This window comes from Homo sapiens, chromosome 7 (genome assembly GCF_000001405.40).
Source record: "Homo sapiens chromosome 7, GRCh38.p14 Primary Assembly".
Lineage (NCBI taxonomy): Eukaryota > Metazoa > Chordata > Mammalia > Primates > Hominidae > Homo > Homo sapiens.
The window spans coordinates 48,565,792-48,592,789 of NC_000007.14; the positions used below are offsets into that span (position 1 = coordinate 48,565,792).

General features: G+C 35.4%; 1 protein-coding gene across 11 annotated transcripts in view; it reads left to right on the top strand.

Moving 5' to 3' along the window:
• Positions 1–26,998, top strand: part of ABCA13 (ATP binding cassette subfamily A member 13) — a 476,040-nt gene that overhangs the window by 394,334 nt on the left and 54,708 nt on the right. For 10 of the 11 annotated variants that reach the window (XR_926914.3, XR_926915.3, XM_011515130.3 and 7 more), the window contains 2 exons: positions 14,433–14,583; positions 21,363–21,497. Coding sequence is in view for 9 of the 11 variants with exons in the window: in XM_011515130.3 (XP_011513432.1) it covers positions 14,433–14,583; positions 21,363–21,497 (286 nt within the window). In the remaining 2 variants the exon portion in view is untranslated. The remainder of the gene's footprint in view (positions 1–14,432; positions 14,584–21,362; positions 21,498–26,998) is intronic. The other variant, XM_047419919.1, reaches the window with a different exon arrangement.

Here is a 26,998-nt window from a genome sequence, read left to right on the forward strand (position 1 = left end):
TCAGTTTCTTTGGTTTTGGTCACAGGCTCAGGGCCTTCTCCTAACAAACACATGGCCCATGTTTAAGAGCTAACAAGACCAACAGACAGGAGCCTGTGACATTCCTGTTAACACACAAAAACAATTCAGATATTCAGGATCCAGTCACTTGATGAAAGGGCAGGTGGTAAACTGGGGGTTAACCTTCCTATAAAGTATGGCCAGTGGCAGTAGAGAATCCAGCAGTTTGGAAGCAAATGAATTTAAAATACTATCTGGAAAGCAAATCAAATCAGGACCATTGAGCTGTTCTTTCTTGACTCTCATTGACCTACTTTCACGGTTTACAGACTGCTGATAATATAAAGGAAATTAAATGCCTGCAGTGAGAAGGTTCTTGATCTGGCAAAGACCCCTCAGAGTGCTCCAAACATTTTATTTAATTTCCAAAATTTCTTGATCTGTTATGTCATTAAATAAAGGGGGAGAAACAGCTAGTCAGCATGCATCATGATAAAAGCCACTTGAAGCTCACTTTTCTGTCCCACCCAGGACTAAAAAATGTCTTGCCTTTCCAAGTGGTGCTGAAGCGTAAAGCATACAGTTATGACTTTCACTGCTAGGTTGAGATAACTGAAATGCAAGTGCATGGAAACCGTAAAATGGATGTGAGCATTTTCTAATAATATCAATATGATTGACAGTGATTTTGATTAAGGAGATGTTGGTTAGCATCTCACAGAGATAGATTAGAAGATTTATATAGATGAGCTCACTTCTTCTAGGTCAGTCAGAATGAGCTCTGGTTTAGATAATAAGCTCTTGCCTTGCTGAAAGGCTTTATTATCATATGACCTCCTTTTGTATGCAAATCTGCACAAGGCTGTACCCACTTAGTGCTTCCATCTGGATTATAAGAAGACACCATGGAAAATGGGTCCTGTTCACTTAAACTGAGTTGTCAGGTTGGTCTTCGTAGATCCTTATTTGCCCCCAAAATTCACATAAAGAAATTTAGCTATTCACAGAGCAGCAGGTATTTAAGCCAATAAAATAGAGCATGGGAAATCACAGTACAGTTTGACTTAACATGTCTTTAAAATGCTATTTGAGTACTGACCTCTACTGTGGTTTAGCACACTCTGGATCTTCTCCGCAAACATTCTACCGAACTACTTATAGTGATAGACACATCACTGCTTAATAAAATCTAAAGAATTGATAGATATGCTGTGTGCAAAAGTTGAGTGAGGTGATTCCCACTAACTGCAAAGCAACTGCAACCATTTTAATTGTACGGCACACAGAAGATACCCTGCTCTGAAAGTGGAAGTAAAGGTTCTTCATTTGTTTTCATTATGAAGTCATGCCCTTAGTTTAAAAATATAATCTAAGTAATTAAAAATTAGGCAGCTGTCATTGAACTGGATGACGGGTTGCTTTGAAGGCAGAAAGACCTTTTCCATTGTTGAATCCCTGTGTTCGCAGAGTGCTGTATTTCCTGTTTTGAAGTAGAAAGATACTGAGTAGAAAAAAATGAGTATGGGCCTTGGGCAGTGCAGAGGCTGCAAGGGTGCTGGGGTCATTGGACAATGCAAAGAATATCTGAATATGTATTCCATATCTTTATATGTTTTAGAACATTTAAAATATATATTATATGGCTTTACATTGTTAGGGAGCTCATTGAGATTGGGGAGTAGTTGGTAGGAGACCATCCAAACACATTCTATCAGAACTTATATAAAACCTTTTTTAGACATGAACATTTGTGCTAGGTGATTAATTAATGTGTGGAGATTACCAACAAATTTTAAAATATCAACTTAAACATTGAGTATATAATACTCATAAATCATAAATATATGGGTTGATGAACTTTTATAGTATTAGCATACATGTAACTATCATCAGGAGAGAGACCTTTGGCAGACCCCCAAGAAACTCCTTTCATGACCCTATCTAAACCAAAGATAAACACTGTTCTGGCTTTTATTAGCATAGGTTAGTTTTACTTGTTTGTGAATTTTATATAAATGAGATCATACAGTTTATATTTTTACATGAGCGATTTTTTCCTATAAAATCATATTTGTAAAATGCTTCCATATTGTCACATGTTGCAATAGTTTTATTGTCATTAATAATGACAGATATTTGTTAGGAACAATCCCCAATACGTATATGAATGAAATTGCCTCCATAGAGCATGTGTGTGTTTAGCTTTTGTAAATACTGGTAGTGTTTTGGTTAACTAAGACATAATTCACATACTATCAAACTTATAATTTTTTAAATGCAACAATTCAGTGATTTTTACCATATTCATAAAGCCATATGATGATTTCCACTAACTCTAGAACACTTTCATTACTTTGAAAAGAAACCCTATACCAATTAACAATCATTCTCCATTGCGTCCCCCCATTGTCAACCATTAATTTACTTTCTATCTCCATGGATTTGAGTATCCTGGAAATTCCATATAAATAGGTTCATACAATAACTTCCTTTTATCTCAAATTCTTTTCCTGTTTTATCATAAAAGGGTATTGAATTTTGTCAAATTCTTTTTCTGAGTTTAATGAGATGTGTGGTTTTTGCACTTTATTCCATTAACATGGTATAGATGATTGGTAGAATCAACAAATAATTAATTTTATATATTAAACTAACTTTGCATTCCTGGAATAAATTACACTTGAGCATAGTGCCTACTTCTCTTTATATGGGCTGGATTTGATTTACTTGTATTCTGTTGAGGATTTTTAAACATCTATTTATAAGAAATAATGTTATATAGTTTTCTGTCATGTCTTTAGTTGTGGTATCAGGGTGATACTGACCTTATGTAATTAGCTTGGGAATTTTTTTTCTCTTCTACTTTTTGAAATAGTCTAGAAGCATTAGTATTAATCCATTTTTAAATATTTGGTAGAACTCACCAGTGAAACCATTTGGTAGTGGGCTTTTATTTATGAAAAGGTTTTTTGGCATTGTTTTTATTGTTTTTATTATTATTATTACTAATTCAGTATCTTTATTTGTGGATCTGTTTAGATTTTCTTTTTCTCATTTGGTCACTTTCAGTATTTTCTGTCTTTCTAGGAATTTGTCCGTGTTATCTAAATTTCTTAGGATTTTGGCATACGAATATTTAGACTATTAAAAAATTTTCCATTTCTTTAAGATTGGTAGAAATATTTTATTTCTTATTTTAGTAATTTTAATATTCTTGTTCCCTTTTGTTGGTCATTGTAGCTATGAGTTTGTAGATTTGATTGACCTTAAAGAATCAAGATTTGATTATGATTATTTTCTTTATTATTTCTTCCCTATTTTATTTATTTCTGCTCAAATCATTATTTTTTTATTCTGTTTTCTTTAGGTTTAGTTTGCTTTAGTTTTTCTAATTTCTTAATGTAAATGGCTAGGTTATTGTTCTGACATCTACCTTTTTAAAAAATAATACAGATATTACAGCTGTATCTTCTCTTTATGTACCTTTTTAGCTGAATACCATGTTTTGATATGTTGTGTTTTTGTTTTCATTCATCTCAAAGTATTTTTTCATTTTCCTTTTGATTTCTTCTTTGACCCATTGGTTATGAAATAGTATGTTGTTTAATTTCTACACATTTGGAATTTCCCAAAGATTGCTTCTGTATTGATTTTTAATTTTAGTCCATTGTAGTCAAAGAACATACTTTGTATGATTTCAGTCCTTTTCACTTACTGAGTTTTTTTGTTTGCTTGTTTGTTTGTTTGTTTTTTGATGGAGTGTTGCTCTTTCACCCAGGCTGGAGTGCAGTGGCATGATCTCGGCTCATTGCAACCCCCACCTCTCACGTTCTAGTGATTCTCCTGCCTCAGCCTTCCAAGTAGCTGGGAATACAGGCATCTGCCACCATGGCCAGCTAATTTTTGCATTTTTGGTAGAGAGTGTTTTTCATCATATCGGGCAGGCTGGTCTTGAACTCCTAACCTAAAATGGTCTGCTCACCTTGGTCTCCCAAAGTGCTAGAATTACAGGCTTGCGCTACTGCACCCAGCTAATAAGTCTTTTTATTTGTTTGTTTGTTTTTTTAATAGCCAAACACTTGTTCTATTCTGGAGAATTGCTTCTATATACATTTGAGAAGAATGTTCAGTCTGCTCTTTTTGGATGGAGAGTTCTAAGTCTCTATAGTCTCTTAGGTCTAGTTATCTTGTTGTATTGTTCCAATCTCCTATATTTTTGTTAATCTTCTAGCATAGTTATTCTATTAAATATTGAATATAGTGTATTGAACTTGTTCTATTGTTGAATTGTCTATTTCTCCCTTTAATGCTGTCAGCATTTGCTTTGTGTGTTGTGTGGCTCTGTTCTTAATTTCATGTTTTTATGATTAGTCTGTCTTCCTAAGGAATTGACCCTTCTATTGTTATAAGATGTTTTTCTTTGTTTTTAGTAACAATATTTTCTTCAAGTCTATTTTGTTATATATTAGTAGAGTCACCTCAGCTCTCTTTTGGATACTGATTTCATTGTATATCTTTTTGCATCCTCTTTTTTTTTTTTTTTTTTTTTTTGAGATGGAGTCTCACTCTGTCGCCCAGGCTGGAGTGCAGTGGCGCAATCTTGGCTCACTGCAAGCTCTGCCTCCCAGGTTTACACCATTCTCCTGCCTCAGCCTCCCAAGTAGCTGGGACTACAGGCGCCTGCCACCACGCCTGGCCAATTTTTTGTTTTTTAGTAGAGACGGGGTTTCACCATGTTAGCCAGGGTGGTCTTGATCTCCTCACCTCGTGATCCACCCGCCTCGGCCTCCCAAAGTGCTGGTATTACAGGTGTGAGCCACCGCACCCAGCTGCATCCTTTTACTTTCAAACTATTTGTGACTTTGATTCTAAAGTGTATATTTTATAGACAGCATACAGTTGGATAATTAAAAAAAAATCCAGTCTGCCAATCTATGAATTTGTTAAATGGTAGAATTAATTGATAATTATGTGGTAATTACATTAAATGTAAATGAGCTAAATAATCTAATTATTGAGATGGTAAAATTGGTTTCCACCATTTTACTATTTGTTTTCTATATTTCCTCTATATTTTTCATTCCTCTGTTCTTCTATTACTGCCATCTTTTGTGCTAAATAAGTATTTTCTAACATACCACTTTAAGTCCTTATTGTGTTTTTTTGCTATATATATTTTTGAGTTATTTTCTTAGCAGTTTTCCTGGGGATTGCAACTAACATCTTGAGTTAAAATTCTCTAATTTAGATTAATACCAACTTAATTTCAATAGTTTATAAAATTGTGTTTCTACATAGCTCCTCTCCCATTTATGCTATTATTATTACAAATTACATTTTTAGAGATTGTGTGCTCATCAGCATTGATTTTTAAATTATTCTATTATGGAAATGCATTTAACTAAAACAGAAAAAGGAATTACAAGAAACACGTACATTTATCTTGTCATTTATATTTCTTTATATGGTAATCTTAACCAGTGCTTTTTGTTTTATTTCATTATGTGGATTCATGTTACTGTTAGTACTTTTCATTTCAGCTTAAAGACTTCATTTAGTAATTTTGAGGCAGTTCCACTGTCAACAAACTCTCTCAGTTTTTGTTGAGCTGTGAATATCTTAATCTCTCATTAAATTTTAAAAGATAGTCATTTCTTCTTTATTTCTTCTTTACTGTAGAATTCTAGGCTAGCTTTTTTTTTTTCTTTTAACCTTTTGACACTTTGTGTATGCCATCCTATTGTGTTCTGGCCTCTGTGATGTCTGTTAAGAAAGCAGCTATTAACCTTCCTGGAGATTCTTTTTACACTATGAGTCACTTCTCTCATTGCCATCATGATTCTCCCTTTGTCTGAAGTCTTTGACAGTTTGATTATGATTTGTCTAGGTATAGATTATTTTGTATATATTATACACATAAGGATCTCATTCCTGAATATATACAACATTATTATTTTCTTTCAATCTTTATAACTTTCTTTTTCTTGCCTTATTGCACTGGCCAGCACTGGCATTATAATGTTGAATAGAAGAGGTGGTAATGGGGACCTTACTTTTGTTTTTGATATGAAAGGGAAAACTTTAAATATTTTATGATTAACATAGGCTGGGTGCAGTGGCTCATGTCTGTAATCCCAGCACTGTGGGAGGCCGAGGTGGATGGATCACTTAAGGTTAGGAGTTCAACAGCAGCCTGCCCAACGTGGCAAAACCCCATCTCTACTAAAAATACCAAAAAATTAGCTGGGCCTGGTGGCACACGCATGTAATCCCAGCTACTTGGGAGGCTGAGGCATGAGAATCATTTGAATCCTGGAGGCAGAATTTGCAGTGAGCCGAGACCGTGCCAATGCATTCCAGCCTGGGTGATGGAGTGAAACTTTGTCTCAAATAAAATAAAATACATATTTTATTATTAACAGAAATATATAGCTTTTATGGACTTGGCATACATTTTAAAATCAGATTAAGAAAGTTCTTTTATATTTTCCTTTCTAGCTCAATTTTTGACTTTTATTTATTTATTTTTATAAAGAATATATTTAGAGACAGGGTCTTGCTCTGTCACCCAGGCTGGAGTACAGCAGCATGATCATAGCTCACCACAGCCTCAAACATCTGGGCTCACATAATCTTTCTGCTTCAGCCTTCTAGTAGGTGGGACTACATGCCCAGCTATTTTTATAAGCAATAATTTTAACATTTTACTATTTTTTCTCACCTTTTCTTTATACTCTTAGTATATTATGTGACATTAAATAATTTTTAAATTTTATTTAAAAAATATTGAATTCATGGATAAAGTTGACTTGGTCAAAATTTAATACCCCTTTTATATATCACTTGATTTAATTGGGTAATAGTTACTAAAATTTTGTGGTGATTATTATATGAAATTATCTTGTGAATTTTACTTATTGTAACACATTTGCCAGGTTTAATTGTCAAGGAATAATGGCCTCAGTAAGTAACTTGAAAATTGTTTCCAGCCTGTTTTCCAGAATAGTGTATGATCCATGTAATTTTTACATAGATGTTTCAAAGAATGCCCTAATGAAAGCATTTGGGTCTAAATTTATCAAAACAATTTTAATTAATGATTCAATTTCGTTTTACATGTAGAAATTTTTAGGCTTTCTATTTCTTCCTTTTCTTGGTTTATTATGTTTTAAGGGATTTTTCTATTCCATCTAAATTATTCCATTTCTATGCAGAAATTTGGTGCATAATATACTAAAATTTTATTTTTAATATCTATCTTAAGTGATGTTAGTATTCCTGATACTGGTATTTTGTATCAAATTATATTAATGTTTCTATTCATTACTATGTTTAAAGTACTCTGTTACTGTCTTAATTTTGCTTATTATAACTTTCCAGTTATAAAATTTTTATTTGATTTTTTAAACAGATTTCAATTTTCTAGTATAATTCACCTCTTTTTCCTCTTTTTTGTTCATTTATTAATTAAACTATGTTAAAGTCTATGTCTGATAACTCCAATATCTATATCACTTGTGGGTTTATTTTTATTTTATTTGTTTTTTATCTTATTTATTTATTTTTTTAAGTGGTATTCCTGGTGTATTCATTTTCTAGGACTACTGTAAAAATATACCACTGTCTGGGTGCAGTGGCTCATGCTTGTAATCCCAGTGCTCTGGGAGGTTAAGATGGGAGGATCATTTGAGGCTAGGAGTTTGAGACCAGCCTGGGCAACATAGCGAGACTCCATCTCCACAAAACAGAAACAAAACAAAACAAAACAACAACAGCAACAACAAAACATTTAATTAGCCAGGCCTGATGGTGCATATATGTAGTCTGAGCTACTTGGGAGGCTGAGGTGGGAGGATTGCTGGAGCCCAGGAGTTCGAGGCTGCAGTAAGCTATGATTGTACCACTGCACTCCAAGCTCAGCTACAGAGTGAGACTCCATCTCAAAGCAACAACAACAAGAACAACAACAGAACACAAACTTAGTGGCTTAAACCAGGAAAATTTATTCTCTCATGGTTCTAGAGGCTTGAACTCCGAGATCAAGCTGTTGCCATTAGTTCCTTCTGATTGCTGTGGGGAAGGGATCTGCTACAGCCCTGTCTCCTTGGCTTATAAAGGACCATCTTCTCTCTGTGTGTTTATATAGTCTTCCCTCTATATATGTGTCTGTGTCCACATTTTCCTTTTTTTAAGGACATCAGTCATACCAGATTAAAGCCCACCATAGTAGCCTCATTTGGATTTGATTTTCTCTGTGACATTTTATCTTCAAATAAGGTCATATTCCAAGGCATGGGGAGTTAGGACCCCAATATTATTATTATTATTACTATTATTTTGGATGGGACACGATTCAACCCATAACAACTGATAAATTTTGATTAAATGAAAATATTTAGAGTCTCTGGATGATTCTGTTTTACTTCAAAGAGAATTCTCTTTAGCTTTGATATGGAATTAGAATAGATAAAATTATCTCAGAAAATGGGATGATCTTACTAAATACGTTTTTTAAAGGGCTTGTCTATTTTTACATTTCCGGAGGCTTCACTGTTCAATGGCCCTGACTGAAAGCCACGTTCATTTGCCAGAGTCCCAACACCTGAATGTCTGCTTAATGACAGTTTCTGTTATCCCAGCTGGTTATTCCAGGTTTGTTATAAATTTGATAGGTTTAGTTACTTTTTAGATTCTTAGATTTGTGTCTTGATTTCCCTCTTCAATTATAGACCTGCATTACTCATACATTAATGAACATCTCAAGCATGAGACACCTAGAGTTACAGGGTTTTTCTTACTTTCTTCCCCCTGGGATATTGGCCTCTCAAGTCCTGTCTGCTCTGGTAGCCCTGAATCTCAATTTTTATCTCTTCCAAAGACTAATAACAGCTTTGCTTAGCTCCTCTGCCTTTTAGCCATCACTTTCTCCACAACATCATTACTTCTTCTTCCTCATTTTATATGTGTGACTAATATTTCGAGGAAAAACAAACAAAACACATGTCTCCTCTCAGTGAGTTTCTTCTTTTTGGGATTTGAATCTTTAATTCCTAGTCTTTAAATAGATTTTTCTGCATTTTATCCAGCTGTTCCATTGTTTTATGGGCTATTGAAAACAACTCCCATTTTAGCATCAATTTTGATAATAAAGCAAAAGGATAATATAGCACATGGATGGTATATTTGAAGCCACAGGTAATATATACATTAACATTTATAAATATTCCCCTATCCAGAAAATACTTGAAACTTGAGTTTCCAGTAGACATTTTTTTTTTGCATAACACATGTAAACATTTTATGGTACATACTTAGACTTAACATTTATTCATTGTCTATCTGAACTATAAACTTAAGTGGATATTTTGTATTTTTTTCTGGCAATCTTGCTCTCTTTAGAAGAATGCATAAACAATAATACACCAGAATAATTATGGTACAAAAGCTGATTGGAGCACTATGGAAAGATTCTAACTAAAAATTATACATGGATATTTTTATTATTTAAATATAAGGGAATGGTTTTTTAAAAGTTGATACTCTAAAGACTTAAAGGTTAAAATTTTATGACATAAGTGTGGAAACTTTCATGATAAATGTGCTAGCTGAATTTGAAAGATAGGAGAATATGGATGTAATAGAAACTAATGTAAAGGAAATTAAGTACCCAGTAGATCTTAAATTCTGTTTTCTCTTATATTTATCACATACAACAGAATTAAAAGTGCGGAATATTAAATTAGCGCTGCCAGTGATAAACTTGAGAAATTGTTCTACTGTGTAGATTAGAAGCCATTGACATGATGAGTAAGAGAATGGTATACAATGTAGAGGATGGAGAGATACATTTAAAATTTATAGCTTTTCCTGTGGGTCAGAGATGTGGAACATGAAAAAATGAAACAAAAACTCTACTGAAAAAGGTACTGAGTTGTGGCTTTTGGTACAACATTTAAAGAGCTTGCAAGTTGTCACTTTCATTTTCACAACAGGAAAATACCTTAAAAACTAAAAATTATCAACTCTTCTTAGATCCCTCAGAGATTTGAGGTCAGAAAGCAAACTGCTACCCCAGTACTAGAGAGACAGTCAGGGGACCCCCTACACCCATGGGTTCATATCCATGGATTCAACTAACTGTGCCACAAAATATTCAGAAAAAAAGGGATGATTCTGCCGGTACTGAACATGTACAGACTTTTCCTGTTGTTAGTATTCCCTAAAAAATACAGCATAACCACCGTTTATATAGCATTTACATTGCATTAGGTATTATAAGTCATCTAGAAATGATTTAAAGTATTTGGGAAGATGTATGTAGGTTATAAGCAAATTCTACAGTATTTTATATAAAGGACTTGAGCATCTGTGGATTTTTAGTATCCAAAGGGAGTCCTAGACCCACCCCCCATGGATATAGAAAAACGACTGTACTAGAAGGAAGCCCAGGACTGTGAATCAGGAGACCCAGAAGCAGAAGTCACCATATGAGGCCAGGATCAGTAGGAACACATCCGCTATAATCAAAAAGTGATGTAGGCTCAGTGTGGACTAACTTGAAAGTAGCCTTGGGGGCTCCTCACTGATGAGTATTACCTACAGGAACCCTACCAGATTCTCCATGTGAAGACAGGGGAAAAATCCTTTCGTGCTTTCAGCAGGAGTTAATTATATAGAAGTATGCCCAGACCTCTGTAAGCATTAGAAAGACCAGCCCAAAGGGGAAACTGCTTTTCCAGAGCCTAACTGACCTGGGAAAAGGGAAATGCCCAGCTCAGGCTCTAGAAGACTGAGACATGATTGTGGGAATATAGAACTCTTCCCCTCAACCAACTCCTCACCACCACATCAGTGGTGCTCCTGTGTAATAACCAGGGACTAAGAGAACTACAAGCCTCAGACTCTATTTAAGATGGAATCTCTAGGCAAACCCAAAGACAACTGGGTATAAACAGAAGGACACTAGAACTAACACCACTGAGACAGCCACCAGTAAGCACAATATAACTTCTAGTCAGATAAACTCAAACCTCACACTAAAAGCCCAAATAACAGCTTAACAATAAAGAAATAGACATCATCCAAACTATGCTGTCAAACCACAATGGAATTAAACTAGAAATAAAAAATAGAAGGATAGCTTTAGAAATCCCCAAATATTTGGACATTAAATAACCTATTTCTGGGTAACACACACGTTAAAGGAATCAGAAAAGAAATTACAAAAATTAAGCTTCAATGAAAATGAAATTTAAACCTATCACAGTTTGTGGAATACAGCAAAAGTTGTGCTTAAAGGAAAATTCATGGAATTTGATGCATCTGTTAGAAAAGATTAGAGACCTAAAATAGATAATCTAAGCTTATATGTTACTAAACTAGAGGGAGAGGAGCAAATTAAATTGAAAGTAAGTAGAAGAAAAGAAATGATAAAAATTAGTGGAGAAATCAATAAAATTATAAAAAGGAAAATAATAAAGAAAAATCAATGAAACTAAAAGCTGAAATCAATGAATTAAAAGATGAAATAAATAAAATTGATAAACTCCTAGTGAGATTATCCATGAAAAAAAGAAAATACAAATTACTAATATCAAAAACCAAAGATGTTATCCTTACTACTCTCATGAACATTAAAATATTAATAAGGAAATATTTTGAGCAACTCTATGCCCACATCTTTGATAACTTACTTGAAATGGGCCAATTCCCTGAAGACACAATTTACCCAAACACATACAAGGAGAAATAGACAATCCAAATAGGTATATATCATTGAAAGAAATTGAATCAATAACTAATGACCATAAAAGCAAAAGCACTAGACTTAGGTGATCTCACTGGTGAATTCTACCATTTAAGAAAGAAATGATATCAATTTACTGCAATGTCTTTTAGAAAATAGATACAGAACAATTATGGTTAACTGTTTTTATGAGGCCAGCATTATCATAATACTGAAACCAGACAAGGGCATTACAAGAAAGGAAAACTATAGCCTAGTATCTCTTATGAATATACATGCAAAAATTTTCAACAAAGTATCAAATTGAGTCTAACAATGTACGAAAAGAATTATATACTATGACAAAGAAGGACTTATTCCAGATAGGCAAGGTTCGTTCAATTTTTGAAAATCAATTAATATAATCCATTACAACAATAGAATAAAAGGAAAAGATGGTTTGATCCTATTAACAGATGCATAACAACATTTTTCACAAAAGCCAACACTTATTCATGATACTAACTCTCAGCAAACTAGGAACAGAAAGGACATTCCTCAACTTGATAAAGAACACTGTAATAAACCTTCAAGTGATATACTAAATCATGAGAAGCTAGCTACCTTTCTCCTAAGTTTGGGAACAAGATGTCCTCTCTCTCCATTCTTACCTCAATACTCTGCCAGCAAGCAGTCCTACGTAATGCAATAAGAGCAGAAAAGGGAGTTAAAATCACACAGATTGTGAAGGAATAAATAAAACTGTTATTGCTTATAGATGACATGATTATATATGTAGAAACTCCCAAAGAATTGTCAAAAAAATACTCCTAGAACTAATAGCCATTTATATCAAGGTTTCAGGATACAACGTTAATATAGAAAAGTCATGTTTCCCTATATATCTACAATGAATAATTGGAATTTGAAATTTTAAAAACATATCATTTACATTAACAATCCCCAAAATGAAATACTTAGCTATAAATCTAACAAATTATGTGAGGAAAACTACAAAATCCTAATGAAATAAATAGAAAAAGCTCTAAATAAATAGATATTCCATGTTTTGGGGTAGAAAAACTTAACATCAACAAGATATTGGTTCTTCCCAACCTGAATGTTAGGTTTAACACAACCCCAATCAAAATCCCAGTGTTACTTTGTGGATATTAACAAACTGATTTTCAAGTTTATGTGGAAAGACAAAAGATCCATGATAGGCAACACAGTATGGAAGAACAAAGTCTGAAGACTGACATTACCTGACTTTAAGATTTACTATAAAAGCACAGTAATTCCCAGAGATAGCCCCACATCAATACAGTCAACTGATATATGACAAAAGAACAAAGGCAACCATGTGGGCAAATAATCATCTTTGCAACAAATGGTGCCAGAACAAATGGACATCCACATGCCAGACAATGAATCTGGGCACTTAACTTATACCTGTGACAAAAATTAACTCCAAGTGGATCTATGACCTGATTGTAAAATACAAATTATAAAAGTTCTAGAAAATAACATAGGATAAAATCTAGGTGACCTTGGATGTGACAATGCCTTTTTAGAGACAATATCAAAAGCATGATCCATAAAAGAAAATGTTGGTAAGTTTGACTTCATTAAAGTACATTTCTGCTCCTGCAAAAGACACTGTTAAGACATTAAAAAGTCAATCCATAGACTGGGAAAAAATTTTGCAGACCCATGTCTCATAAAAGACTTGTATATGAAATACATAAAGAATCCTTAAAATTAAACAATAAGAAAACACAGAGTTAAAACATGGGTGAAAGATATGAACAGATGTATCACCAAAGAAGACAGATGCAAATAAGTTCATAAGATGCTCAACATCATATGTCATTGGAAAATTGCAAATAAAAGCAACAATGCAATGCATCTATATAGCTAATAGAATGAGTAAAATACAAAACACTGACAATACCAAATGTTGACAACAGTGTAGAGCAATAGGAACTCTCATTTGCTGCTGATGGGAATTCAAAATGGTACAACCACTTTGGCAGACAGTTTGGCAGAATCTTATAAAACTAAATATAGTCTTCCCACCTGATTCAGCAATACATATTAATAAAAAAACAGTTTGATTATGTATGTAGACACAGGAGTTTCACACAAAAAATAAGACTCAAGGAGCTGCCCAGATGATTGAGGCTTATGTACCATATAAGGCTAAACAAAGCAAAAGGGATTTGGGGATTCTGGGCAGGGGAGGCCAGCTATGGGAAGGTGAGGGGAGGAAATGTATGGTGGACTAGGGTTGTCTCATTATGCAGATAAGAGTCTCTCCAGTTCAGAGTTTTCTGGGAAAGTAGCTCTCTTTCTGGTAGGGAGACATCTTTACAAATGAAAATTTCCTTTGTAAATGTGAATTTCCTTTTCAAAAGAAGACATTTATACTGAATTTTTAGGCAGTTAAGGAGAGATAAAGAGCTTTTCCTTTGTCCTCTGGTTCTCAGTTGCCTTTAGCTCAAAATAATCCATATGCCAAAGAGGCCTATTTTGGGGTGACTTCTTGTATTCTTCACGTCTCATGAAATGAACCTATTATTGTGAAATGAACTAATTGTTTTAAATAAACTGCAGTGGACTTGTTATTGATGAGCCACATTTTAAAAATGGGTTGGTGCCAGTTTGGGAAACTGCTGTTCTCAGCCTGTGCTGCTTCTCTCTGCAGAGACGCCGTGGACCTGTCTTCTGCTGGCACGGCAGGCGTGCTCATTGGCTACTGTCCCCAGCAGGATGCCCTGGACGAGCTTCTGACTGGTTGGGAACATCTCTATTATTACTGTAGCTTACGCGGGATTCCAAGGCAGTGCATCCCTGAGGTAAATCTCCCTGGGGTCTTCTAGATAAAGGGACCCATTGAGGAATGCTTGGTGACCACCTCTGGCTCCAAGGCAGCTCTCTCACCCTATGAGGAGAAGGAACTGTAGTATCAGATAAACTTACCTGCAAGAGATTTTCTAATATGATTATACTGAAGAAAACATTAAATATATTTCCCTTATTTTACATTATATATTTAAAAGGTATCTGTGTGAGGCAGTCATGTGGTCGGAGTTAAAGCATAAATACATCATTTATAACTTTGTATCCCCCTTGCTCTTTTCTTCCTCTCTAAATGCCTTTTACATTTATTGAACTACAAACTTGTATTCAGGAAGAAATATCACAAACTCTGTATTTTCAGGGCTTGTGAAAGTGTGGGCACAAATTATGTGTGGAATCTGGGGGACTGCTGGAAGGAATGACTTCCTGATGAGTGGGCGGACAGATTCCTCCTGCCAGGGGATTCCTTCTGCCAGGGGATTCCTTTCTGGGTGGTCTTAGGGGAATGAAGGAGTGGCAGAAACTGAGACCCCCACCTCCATCACTGCCTGTGACAGGAGAGAGGCAGGTGGAGCAGTGAGAGAGCAAAAGACAGCTGCCACTTCTTCTGTGTGAGTAGAGGTCAGCGAAGCAGAGCGGACAGCCTTGATTGACAGCTCAGGATGTTGTACCGTGAGCCACCAAAATTGCAGTTACTTAAGCACATTTTTACCTTTTCTGCACCTCATTATAGAAAGTCTGGGGTGCGTGCTCCTCAGATTTCTGGATTCTGAACTAGAAGCAGAAATAAGTGGCTTATATTATGCGTTTGCAATTAGATTCTGCGGGAGAGGGAAAATTCTAGGACTCACAGGAGACAAAACTAATAGCCTTCGCCTTCACTGGTCCATGAACGTTCATTCTCTGTTCTGTTTTTATAATGCTTCAGCATTTGTTTCTTATTTATGCTTTCTAACTTTAAGTGAAACTAAACAGAATGTCTGCACCTCATTGTAAGGACTCTGGCCCCTTTTCCCATCTCCCGTCTTAATAAAGCAAAGATAACTGACCACCCCACAGAGACCTGCTGGTTGTAGTTAAACAGTTATTGGCATCCGTGGCTAATTGTTGGATCAATTTTTAATCGGTGTTTATCTCTGTCAGCTCCTCTTTGTTAGTTTTTGATGAAAGAGGCGGGTGCTTGGCAAAGGCTTTAAGCTGGCACTTTTGTTTTTCGAGGGAAACATGCTTATGAAAAAGCTCTCGTTAATGTAGGTCGGTGCTTTCTGTCATTCAGGGCAATTGTGTCTTGATATTCATCTGTCTTACAACTTTGTTTTTCTGAATTGTTCTACCAATAAAAGTTATTTAAATGGTAACCAATTAGGAACTGCCTTCATTTCCTTTATAAAACTGTAACTGATTTTGCAGACAGTATTGCTACTTGCTCTTGTTTCTAAGATGTCTGCACACTTTTGCATCTGTTTCCAAAGGAGTTAGCTCCTTTTCTGGAAACAAATTTTCTTTTCTATATATTTTGGGAATATTTAAGTTATAGAACAGGCATATCCATTTTGAGGTGCTTATCACAAGATGTCCAGAAAGAATTATTATAAAATAATGGAAAATAAAGTTTTATCTTTCAGTATTTATTCCACATCAGGTACTGTTCTAAGTATTTTACAGCAACCATATGAAGTAGATGCTTATTCCCATTTTACAAACTGAGAAATTAGACACAGTTTAATTGAGACACAGAGACACAGGAAAACTGAGACACCAGAGAAATTAGGCCACTTGCCCATGTTCACATGGCTAGTATTTGGCAAGGTTTTACTTTGAAACCATATAAACCAGCTCCAGGGTACAAGTTCTTGACTAAGACATTACTCTGACACTTAGTTTATTCAGGCTGTTAGTTGTATAAGATGGAATTTCTGGTGGTATTAACAGTTCAGTCTTATTTTTATAACCCTGGGATGGCCAAAGAAGTGGAAACTGTGTGGGGTTAGTGCATGACTTCTCTAACATGGGGCTCCTCCTGCTGCCTGGCTTTCCATTGGTCTGGAGTTGGACTCAACATGTGTGCCTCACCTCCAGGCTTTCAGAACTCATAGATATGGGGGTAATCTTTAGACACATCTGCTGCTCACCTTAGTTGTTTTCTTCAGGCTGCCATCTATTTTCATTGTAACATGGAGAGCCACCATTGTAAGCTCTATGATTCTAGTGCAAGACCCTCTGTGCTTGCGGGGAGGCTCCTTTGTTCAGCCTTACAGTCCCCTCTCCTCCCTCCCGGGGACCCTCAGAGCCCATGCCATGGCTGAGCCAGTCCACCTGTGCTCCACTTGCTGGTCATTTCTAAGTATGGTCAAATTGCTCACTTCCTCAACCTTTCAAAAGTTTGATGAGGTAAGAATAAGATGCCACTTCATAAAGCTTGAACTTAGGTTTGACAAGTTAACAATGATTTCCAAATTTCCCATGATTTACACTGCACAAAACTGTGCAGTGTACATATTTGAGCCTCAATTTAATTAACCTTGTAAAGCATGTTATATTAAGTTATATCACTTGGTTATTACCAAATGATGCAAGAGATGAGGGCTACATAGTCTGGGATGCTAGAGAAAATGTGTCAGAGTTCATCATGCTAGGTAGTTTCAATGTTAGTGTCATACCATAACAAACAACCAGTACTTCTAAATGGGAAGAGATTTGGCAAATTCTGTGTTTTAGTTTTCCCTGGTATAGAAGAGGTATGGCCCCTCATCATCTTAGTTTTGTTAATACCTGCACATTCCTACCAGGGACTGTCCCTACTGTGTCTTGCTTCCCCTTATCTTCTGTAAAGACATGACTTTTATATTTAAGTTTTCTTCCATTCACACAGTCAGTTTAGCTAGAAGGAGCTAGAATTTATAAGATAGTAGGAATGGGGACAGGAGGTCATCTTCAGAGGAAGGGCCAGGATAAACATTTCCATCTGAAATCCTTGGTTCCCTTTCCCTACTTTACGACTCATTTTGGTCTTTAATCTCACAGAAATGTTGACCTGGCCATTATGTGTGCTAGTGGAAACACTTTGGCTTTGGAGTCTGATAGATGTATGTGTGAATCTCAGGGCAATTTATTTTGGCTCCAGTGATGTTTATGGAAGTCCTACTATGTGCCAAACATGAATAAACACTGGGGATTTCCATCCCAGTGCATATCCCATTGAGATTCATCCCAAAACCAATGCATCCGCAAACGAAAGCATCCCAAAACAAATGCATCCCAGTAACTTGCCTGAAGTATGGTACAATTTCTAGAGCTTCATGAGAGAAAAATACCAAACCTCAGAGAGAGATTCTGTGAACTTTTGACATTTTGGGATTTTAGGCAGTATTTTGCCAACTGAGATTGCTAAGGCATTGCTTTTGCCATTACTTTGACAGTATTGCTGAGTGCAGAAAAGACTACAGCAAAATACTTCTTATTAGGCTATTTTCAGTTATTTTCTGACAACATGACATTCAGAAAACATTGGATCAAACTAATACATTTGTTCCTGTATACTCTGGAATCTTTCCTATGGTTAACCAATCCAGAATTTGCAGGCTGCAATATTTAACCTTTTGTGAAATTGGGAAAACATGACATATGTTTCCTAACTTCATAAAAATATGCAATAATAATTTGGCAAGTTTATTCAAAATGTAACTTGCATTCTCAGGTGCATTTCTCCAGAACCAGGTACATATATTATTATTTTTATTTCATTTGTCAGTTTATCAGTTTTCTTTTATGTATGGCTAATCTTTGAATAACATGGATGAGAGTAACTAAACATTTCTTTCTAATACATGCACACATACACACATTTTCATTCTCTTTTTCTTGTAATATTTATAGATCTAAAAATAACCAAAACAATCATTATCACAATTTGTCATTTTTGCCAGCCTCACCACTGTTAGTACAGCAGGTCCCCAAATAACATTGTTTAGTTCAACATTGTTTCATTACAATGATGAGAAAAGTAAAATTGATTTTCTGCCAGGACCACTGTCGGAGAGGAGTTTGCACGCTCTCTCCATGGCTGCATACATTTTCTCCAGGTACACTTGTTTTCTGTCATGTCCCAAAGCTGTGTACATTAGTTTCTTTGGTGTGTCTATATTGAGCCCATGTGGGTGAGTATATGTGGGCGTGTGAGTGTACCCTCGATGGAATGGCATGCTGTCCAGGGCTGGTTCCTGCCTTGTGCACTGAGCTTCCAGGATGGGCTCTGACCACCCTCAACCCTGAACTGGAATAATTGGGTAAATCATGTTTTTGTTAATCTTTCACAAATATATGTGTAGCTCACATTTATTTCAGTGTTTGCTATTAGAAGTTTTTTTTTATTTAGAAGTTTGGAGATGTTTTTGTGACCAGACATATGACATAGGAACTTTTATTTCTACCAATCAGCTTATGGTAAAATTGGTTTCATTAAATGTTGATTCGGTTAAAGCGGTCTCCAAGAACATATAGATGACATTAAGTAAGGACTTTTTTCCGACAGATAAAGCTTTCTAACAGGGTCTATCATGCTCTTAGTTTTCTTCTCTTTTATGGGGACATCTGCCTCCTTTTCCAGGAAGCCTCCCTGGTTTCCTTCCTTCATCTCTCATATGAGTGTTTATCTAGCACTGATTTACACTTCTTGGCCATTCTTCTGTGAGAAAAATTTGGACGAAGCTACATGACTACTTCTGCTATCTCTTTAATTCCTGAAATGCCAGGCATTTATATTTCTTCATTTATAAGACCCTTCCTTTAATATTTGTGTTTGTTTGCTTGTGATGAATAAAACGTTTTGTTTTGATATTTTAAAATTCACTTAAGTGAATTTTTATTCAACTTGTGATAATTAAAATAGTTGTTCTGAATGGAGCCAGGAAAAAGGATGATTCATATAAAACATTCTGGGGAAAATGACTTTACTTTCAATAAGACCAACTACTGGCCTTGAGAAGATTTTCTTAGGCAGATAGCAGGAGATTAAATATTTCATCTTTATATATCTTTTAGGCCTTGAAATCTGCATTTCCTAGAATTATACTATTTTACCATAAGACCAGTCCTTGAGCCTCTTCATTCATTTGCAACATATTTTGAAGTTGCACAAGTAAAGCCATATAATAATTTCTGTTGAAAGATTTTACTGGGGGGCATAATGATTATCCTAATATTTGTAGAGGTTCTTAATGCTTCATTATCATTATTGTTATTATCCTAACTTTTATGTACTTGTCAAAAAGAGTATACACATTAGTTTATATTTATTCAGTTATTTGGGATGCACAATTATTAACCAATCTTTTTAGTCCTATAGAATTTTTCCCTCTTCTCCTAAATTTGAATTAAAATATGATCTTGGTCAATTTGGCTATATGATTATATCTAAAAAATGAATCTATATTAATACTTCTATGGTCATAAGAGTTAAATAAAATTGTTTGGAAAATTTTTAAATTATGCTAAGTTGGAAACAAAAAAATTGCTTACCTTGGACCCCAGGAAGAATTAATCCAGCATAGGAGATAGAACTGGAAACAGAAAATATAGTGTGGTACAAATTACAGTGGGAAATGCTAAATAAAAGTGTTCTATAGACACATATAATACACAGAAGAGGTGACACATATATCACACAGAAGAAGTGACAATTATTTTTTCTGATGAGAGATATGGGCTGGGCCTTCTAGGATGTGGGACAAGCTGGCAGGGTGGAAGGCAGGGAAGAAGAAAGAAGCTGTGAACCGCAGGCTCTTGGGTACAGTCTGAACTCTCCTGTGGCTGGAGGGGTGAGGTTTGACAAATGCTGCCACCATCCTTGGGTCTTGGCAAAGTGGTTTTCAGCAGTTGCAAATAAGAAATATTTCCCATTCTCCTCCCCATCTCTAGTTACTTTATAAACCAAACTCTGAGTTTGCAAACATTAACAGTGGCTTCTCAATGTCAAAGGGATATTTCTTTCCTTGTGTTAATATTGAAAATTCCCTCCAGCCATAAAAATGAACAAAATCACATCCTTTGCAGCAGCATGGATGCAGCTGGAGGCATCATCCTAAGCAAATTAACACAGGAACACAAAACCAAATACCGTGTGTTCTCGTTTATAGGGGGGAGCTTAACATTGGGTACACATGGGCACAAACATGGCAGCAGTAGACACGTGGGAATCCAAAAGTGCGGAGGGAGGGCGTGTGACAAGGGGTGAAGAACTACCTGTTGGGTTCCATGCTCACTACTTGGGTGGGATCATTAGAAGCCCAAACCTCAGTGTCACACAATATACCCATGTAGCAAACCTGCACATAGACTCCCTGAATCTAAAATAATAAAGAAAATTTTCTGCTTCGGTTGTCTTCTCCCTTTAAGTTTTGACACCGCTATTAGTTTCATTCCCATTTGTTTCCTTCTCAGTTTTCTTTTTGGCATACCCTTCTCTGCTCACCTCAACATGCTTATTTATCTGGACCCCCAACCTTGAGTGTGTTTCTTGCCCACCCTTCTCCCTGAACTCTAGATGTGATTATTCTGACCATCACTTAGATGTCTCCAGCTGCAGAAAACTCCCACCTGTTCACTCTCAATTACTGCCTGTATGGTAAAGGGGGATGTTTCAGGAGATGTACTTGATTGTATGTGTGAAGGTCGGCAGGGTTAGTGGGAGGTAGAAGCAGGAATGAGGACTGAGACCAGCTGTCTGGTGGGCACTTTGGTGAATGCTGGTGTGCACATGGACATGCCTCTCTTCCAGGTTGCTGGAGACCTCATCAGGCGCTTACACCTCGAAGCCCACGCGGACAAACCTGTGGCCACCTACAGTGGGGGAACCAAGCGGAAACTCTCTACAGCCCTGGCCCTGGTGGGGAAACCTGACATTCTTTTATTGGTGAGTAGAAGAATGTCAATATCTTGGAGTAAGATACATATTGCATATTGATTTATAAACTGATTTTAAGGGTTTTTCTGGGAAGTAACTTCAGAACTTGCAAAGCTGGTTCTACAAACTAGTAAACTGTTTTGCCATAAGCCAGCATTTCCCAAATGTCATTTGTATTTTACAGAAATAAAACATTTATTTTTTGCTAGATTCACTTATATTTGTCAAGCTGAAAATTCTATAAAATTTTAACATTAAAACAGTGTTTTAAAAGATTATTAGAATTCATCTGTAATCTGAAAACCAATTATGTTTTCCTCTAGAATATTGCTTTTATGTCTTTTTCTGTGTGTAGATGTATGTTTATCACAGCAGTAGTGACACCTGTCATGGTGAATCTTAAAGATGGGTGTTGAGAGTGAAGGATGGATATGATGTTGAGAGTAGGGAAGAAAACTCCAGCAAGAGGGTAGAGTATATGCAATGGTCTTGAGACAGGGTGGTCTATAATCAATCTGGGAACTGCAGTTAATTTGATTTGAATGAATCAAAGCATTAATTGGAGGCAACAATTGTCAAGAAATGGAGTTAATTATCTTGCATTTCATAAAACAGCTATAACTGTTAATACAAGTAATGCCATTGAAAGAATAAATAAAGGCTATTGTTACATGCCATAAATTGGATTCTAATCAGTAGAGTGCATCTTTGGACTTCACACCAGTAGAGAGTCTGAGGGGTGTCAAAAAGTGTGGAAAACAAAACAGATTCCTTTTTTTCTATCTTTCTTCATCAAATGAATACACCCTTTTAGTGGGGTAGTAAATGGGGATTGAGAAGGTCTGTGTGGGAAAATGGTCTCATCGTTTGCTGGTTGTCTCCTGGAAACTCACCTGAATATTCTTTTTAGGTACCATAAATTTGCTTTTGCAATGTCCAAATTCCTAGACTATTGTATAGTTTCATATTCCAGAATCTGATAATAAAAACTACCATTTGCACAATCCTGAAGTTTACAAATTACATTTTATTTTCAACATGAGGCAGGATTATGTTGAGTAGTTAACAAGACGTGGGCATTCATTACTTTCTGTGGAATTTCCCTTTGCCCAGCCTCTTACAATGCATCTCCTTAGTTGAATGAAGGGGCCTCTGCTCTGTAGCCATGACCTGCTCACTGCAGACCCTGACATGCTTTTCTTTGATACATCCTTGCTCTCAGCTTTCCTTGGATGCCCAAACCTGTGACAGAGTGGTCAAGGTGGGGACTCTGGAGTCTGACTGACAAGCTTTGAATTTTGCTTCTGCAGCTGCCCAACACTTGGCCTTGTATGTTCTATGCCTGTTTCCTTCTCATCTGAAAATTTTCCTGATAATAGTGTCTGTCTCATGGAGTCATTGAAAGCAGTAAATAAAATAAACTACATTAAGCATATAGCCCAGTGTCTAGCAGATGGTAAACCACAGTAAATATTCGTGACTATGATGATGGTTACTGTTCAGAGCAATAGGTTAAAGAGATTTGTTGCCAGGCCTTTGGAGTTCTCAACAGAGAGACTAGAAGTGATTCTCAGAGCTGACATCAAGGAGGGAATCAGGAAAACGTAAATTACACATACAACTCTCATAATGAGCATTGCATGATCACACCTTTTATTTACTTATTTTTATAACTAATACACATATATTGCTTGATTTGCAGAAAAGACTAGATATTTATTTTCCTGTTCAGTGCTTCTCCCCCTACACTTACTGCTTCCCATCTGTTTCTTTCTTTATGGAAGTTTATGAACCTAAGCTCTTAAGAAATATGTGTTTAGTACTCCCTGGCTAATAAAAGCACAGAAATACATCTTACAGTTTGGCGAGATTTCTCTAGAAGTGGTTCATATAAGGAATACTTTGGTGTCTATTGAAGGAGAAAGCTTCAAGTTCTAAGAAATATTAATTTATTTGATGTTGCTAAATAAATGAAGCCTTTTTCTGCTATCATATGTCTTCCTAGGGGATATCATTCCGAAATTTTATGGAGGTTGAAAATTCATTTTAGAAACATCAGGGTTGGCTTACCTAGCCAGATCATGGAGGAGAACCAACCTGACATGAAAATATAGCCCAATTCCCCTCCTCTCAGTTTTATGGAAGTATAATTAACTGATAAAAATGGTATCTATTTAATGAATTCAACATGTGTTTTGATATACATAAATATTCTGATGTGTTGACTACAATCAAACTAATAAACATATTGATGACATCACATAATTGCCATTTTTTCCCCTGTATGTGATGAGAACACTTAATATCTACCCTCTTAGCAAATTTCAAATATGTAATACAGCATCGTTATCTACAGTCCCTCTCTTAGTTCACTGTGCTGCTATAACAGACTGGATAATTTATAAAGAACAGAGAACAGAAATTCAGGTTTTGGAGTCTGGGAAGTCCAAGATCAAGGCACTGCCAGGTCCAGGTGTCTGCTGAGGGTGCCAACCCTGCTTCCTGAAACCTGTGCCCTCCAGAGGGGAGGAATAGGTGTCATCACAAGGCAAAAGTCAGAAGGGCAAAAAGAGGTGAATGTCCTTCATCAGGTCCTTTTATAAGGTCACTTAATCTTATAAACTCATTCACCTCCCAAAGGTCACACCTCTCAATACTGTTTCATTAGGGATTGAGTTTTAACATGAATTCTGTAGGGGACAAAACATCCAAACTATAGCAGCCCTATATCCTGTATATTAGGTCTCCAGAACTTGTTTGTCCTGTATAACTGAAATTTTCTGCCCTTTGACAAGTATCTCCCCATTTCCACAGCCTGGCACCTTTCTACTCTCTCTTCCTATGTGTTCAACTTTTTAATATTTCACTAAGAAGTAGTGTTTTTCCATGCATGGCTTATTTCACTTTATGCTTGGCATAAAGTCCTCCAGATTCACTTATGTTGTTGAAAATGGAAGGATTTCCTTATTTTTCAGGCAGAATAATATTTCATTACACACACACACACACACACAGTGAGAGAGAGGAGAGAGAGAGAGACAAGGAAACAGGGAGAGAGAGAGAAAGAGAGAGAGAGAGACATACACATTTTCTTTTCCCATTTATACACTTAGGGATGCTTAGGTTGTTTCTATATCTTGGCTTCTGTAAATAATGTTGTCATGAATATAGCACTGCAAATATCCCTTCCAGATATTGATTTTATTTCCTTTGGATACACACACAGAAGTGAGATTACTGGATCAGTGGCAGTAGTATTTTTAATTTGTAGAGGAACCTCCACACTGTTTTCCATAATATGTGTACATTTACATTTCCACCAATTGTGTATAAGGGTTCACTTTTCTCCGAATCCTTGCCATTGCTGGTTATCTTCTGTCCTTTTAACAATAGCCATTCTAACAAGTATAAGATGATATCTCATTGTGGTTTTCATTTGCATTTCCCTGATTATTAATAATGTCGAACATCTTTTCATATACCTATTGGCCATTTGCATGTCTTCTTTTGAGAAAAGTCTGTTCAAGTTTTTTGTCTATTTTTAATTATTATTATTTGCTATTTAGTTTTACGACTTTCATATATAGGATGTAACCCCTTATTGGATATATGGTTGCAAATATTTTATCCCCCGCTGTAGTTTGTCTGCTTTGTTGATATTTTCCTTTCTTGTGCAGAAACTCTTTTCGTTTGAAATAGTCCCACTTTATGTTTGCTTCTATTTTATGTGCTTTTGGTGTCATATCCAAAAAAGAAACAAGCAAAACATTGCCAAGACCAATGTCAAGGAGCTCTTCTTTTTTTTTTTCTACAAGTTTCATGGTTTCTCATCTTATGTTTAAATCTTTAATACATGTTCAGTTGATTTTTGTGTATGGTGTAAGATAAGGACCGAGTTTTAATTTTTTGTATGTAGATATTCAGTTTTCCCAAAGCCATATATTGAAGAGACTGTCCTTTTCCCAGTTTTAATTTCAGTGTATTTGTCAAAGATTAATTGACTATATGTGTGTGGGTTTATTTCTGTACTGTCTATTCTTTTCTATGAATCTATACATCTGTTTTTATACAAGTACCATACTTTTTAAATTATAATAGCATAGTAGTATATTTTGAAAATAGGAAATGTGAGGCCTCCAGCACCATTCTTCTTGCTTACTTTCTTTAGCTATTTGTGGTCTTTTGGGTTTTTTAAATATAAATTTCAGTATTTTGGTTTTCTATTTCAGTGAAAAAATGACAATGGAATTGTAGGAATAGCACTGAGTCTGTAGATCGCTTTGGGTAATATGGACATTTAAAAATATTAATTCTTTCAATCCATGTACATGGATAGCTCTCCATTTATTTGTCTTCAATTTCTTTAATCAAAATGTTATAGTTTTCAGTATACAGATCTTTCACTTCCTTTGTTAAAATTATGCCTAAGTATTTTATTCATTTTGATCTTATTGTAAATGAAATTGTCTAAAATTTCCTTTTCTGATAACCCATTGTTATTTTATGGAAGCACTATTGATATTTGTATGTTGATTTTGTATCATATGACTTTATTGCATTTGTTTATTAATTCTAATGGATTCTTTGGTGGAGTCTATAGTGTTTTCTGTATGTTAGATCATGCTTTTGAAAAGATGATTTTACTTCTTTTTTGATTTGGATGCCTTTTCTTTGTCTTGACTAATTGCTCTGGTTAGGACTTCTAGTATTATGTTGAATAGAAGTGGCTAGAGTGGGCATCCTTGTCTTGTTCTTCTTAGATTTGAAGTTTTTAGCTTTTCACTGTTGAATATGATGTTAGTTGTGGGCTTATGATATATGGCCTTTTATTCTTTTCTATTTCTGCTAACTTTGGGATTAGTTCATTTCTTTATCCAGTTTCTTCAATTGCAAAGGTAAGATATTTATTTGAAATCTTTCTTTTTTTCTTAATGTTGATGACTTCTTCCTCAAATCTGCTTTTACTTCATCCCATAAGTTTTGTTTTGTTTCCATTTTCATTTGTCTCAAGATACATGTATTTTTTAAAATTTTCTTTTTAATTTCATTTTTGACCCATTGGTTGTTCAGGAACATATTGTTAATTTACACATATTTGTGAATTTTACAGTTTTCCTCCTTATTAATTTCTAGTATCATACCATGGTGGTCTGAAATGATACTGGATATGATTTCAATTTTTTTAAAATTGTTTAGACTTGTTTTGTGGCCTAATATATGGTCTCTCCTGGAGAGTATTTTATGTGTTCTGGAGAAGAATGTGTATTCTGCTATTGTTGGATGGAATGTTCTGTGTATGGCTGTTAGGTCCATTTGGTCTAAAGGGTAGTTCAAGTACATTGTTTCCTTATTGATTTTCTGACTGGTTATTCAATGTATCATTGAAAGTGGAGCCTTGAACTCCCCTATTATTATTGTACTTATGTCTTTTACTCCTTTCAGTTTTGTTAATATTTGCATTACATATATAGTACTCTAATGTTTAGTGCATATCTATTTACAATTACTCT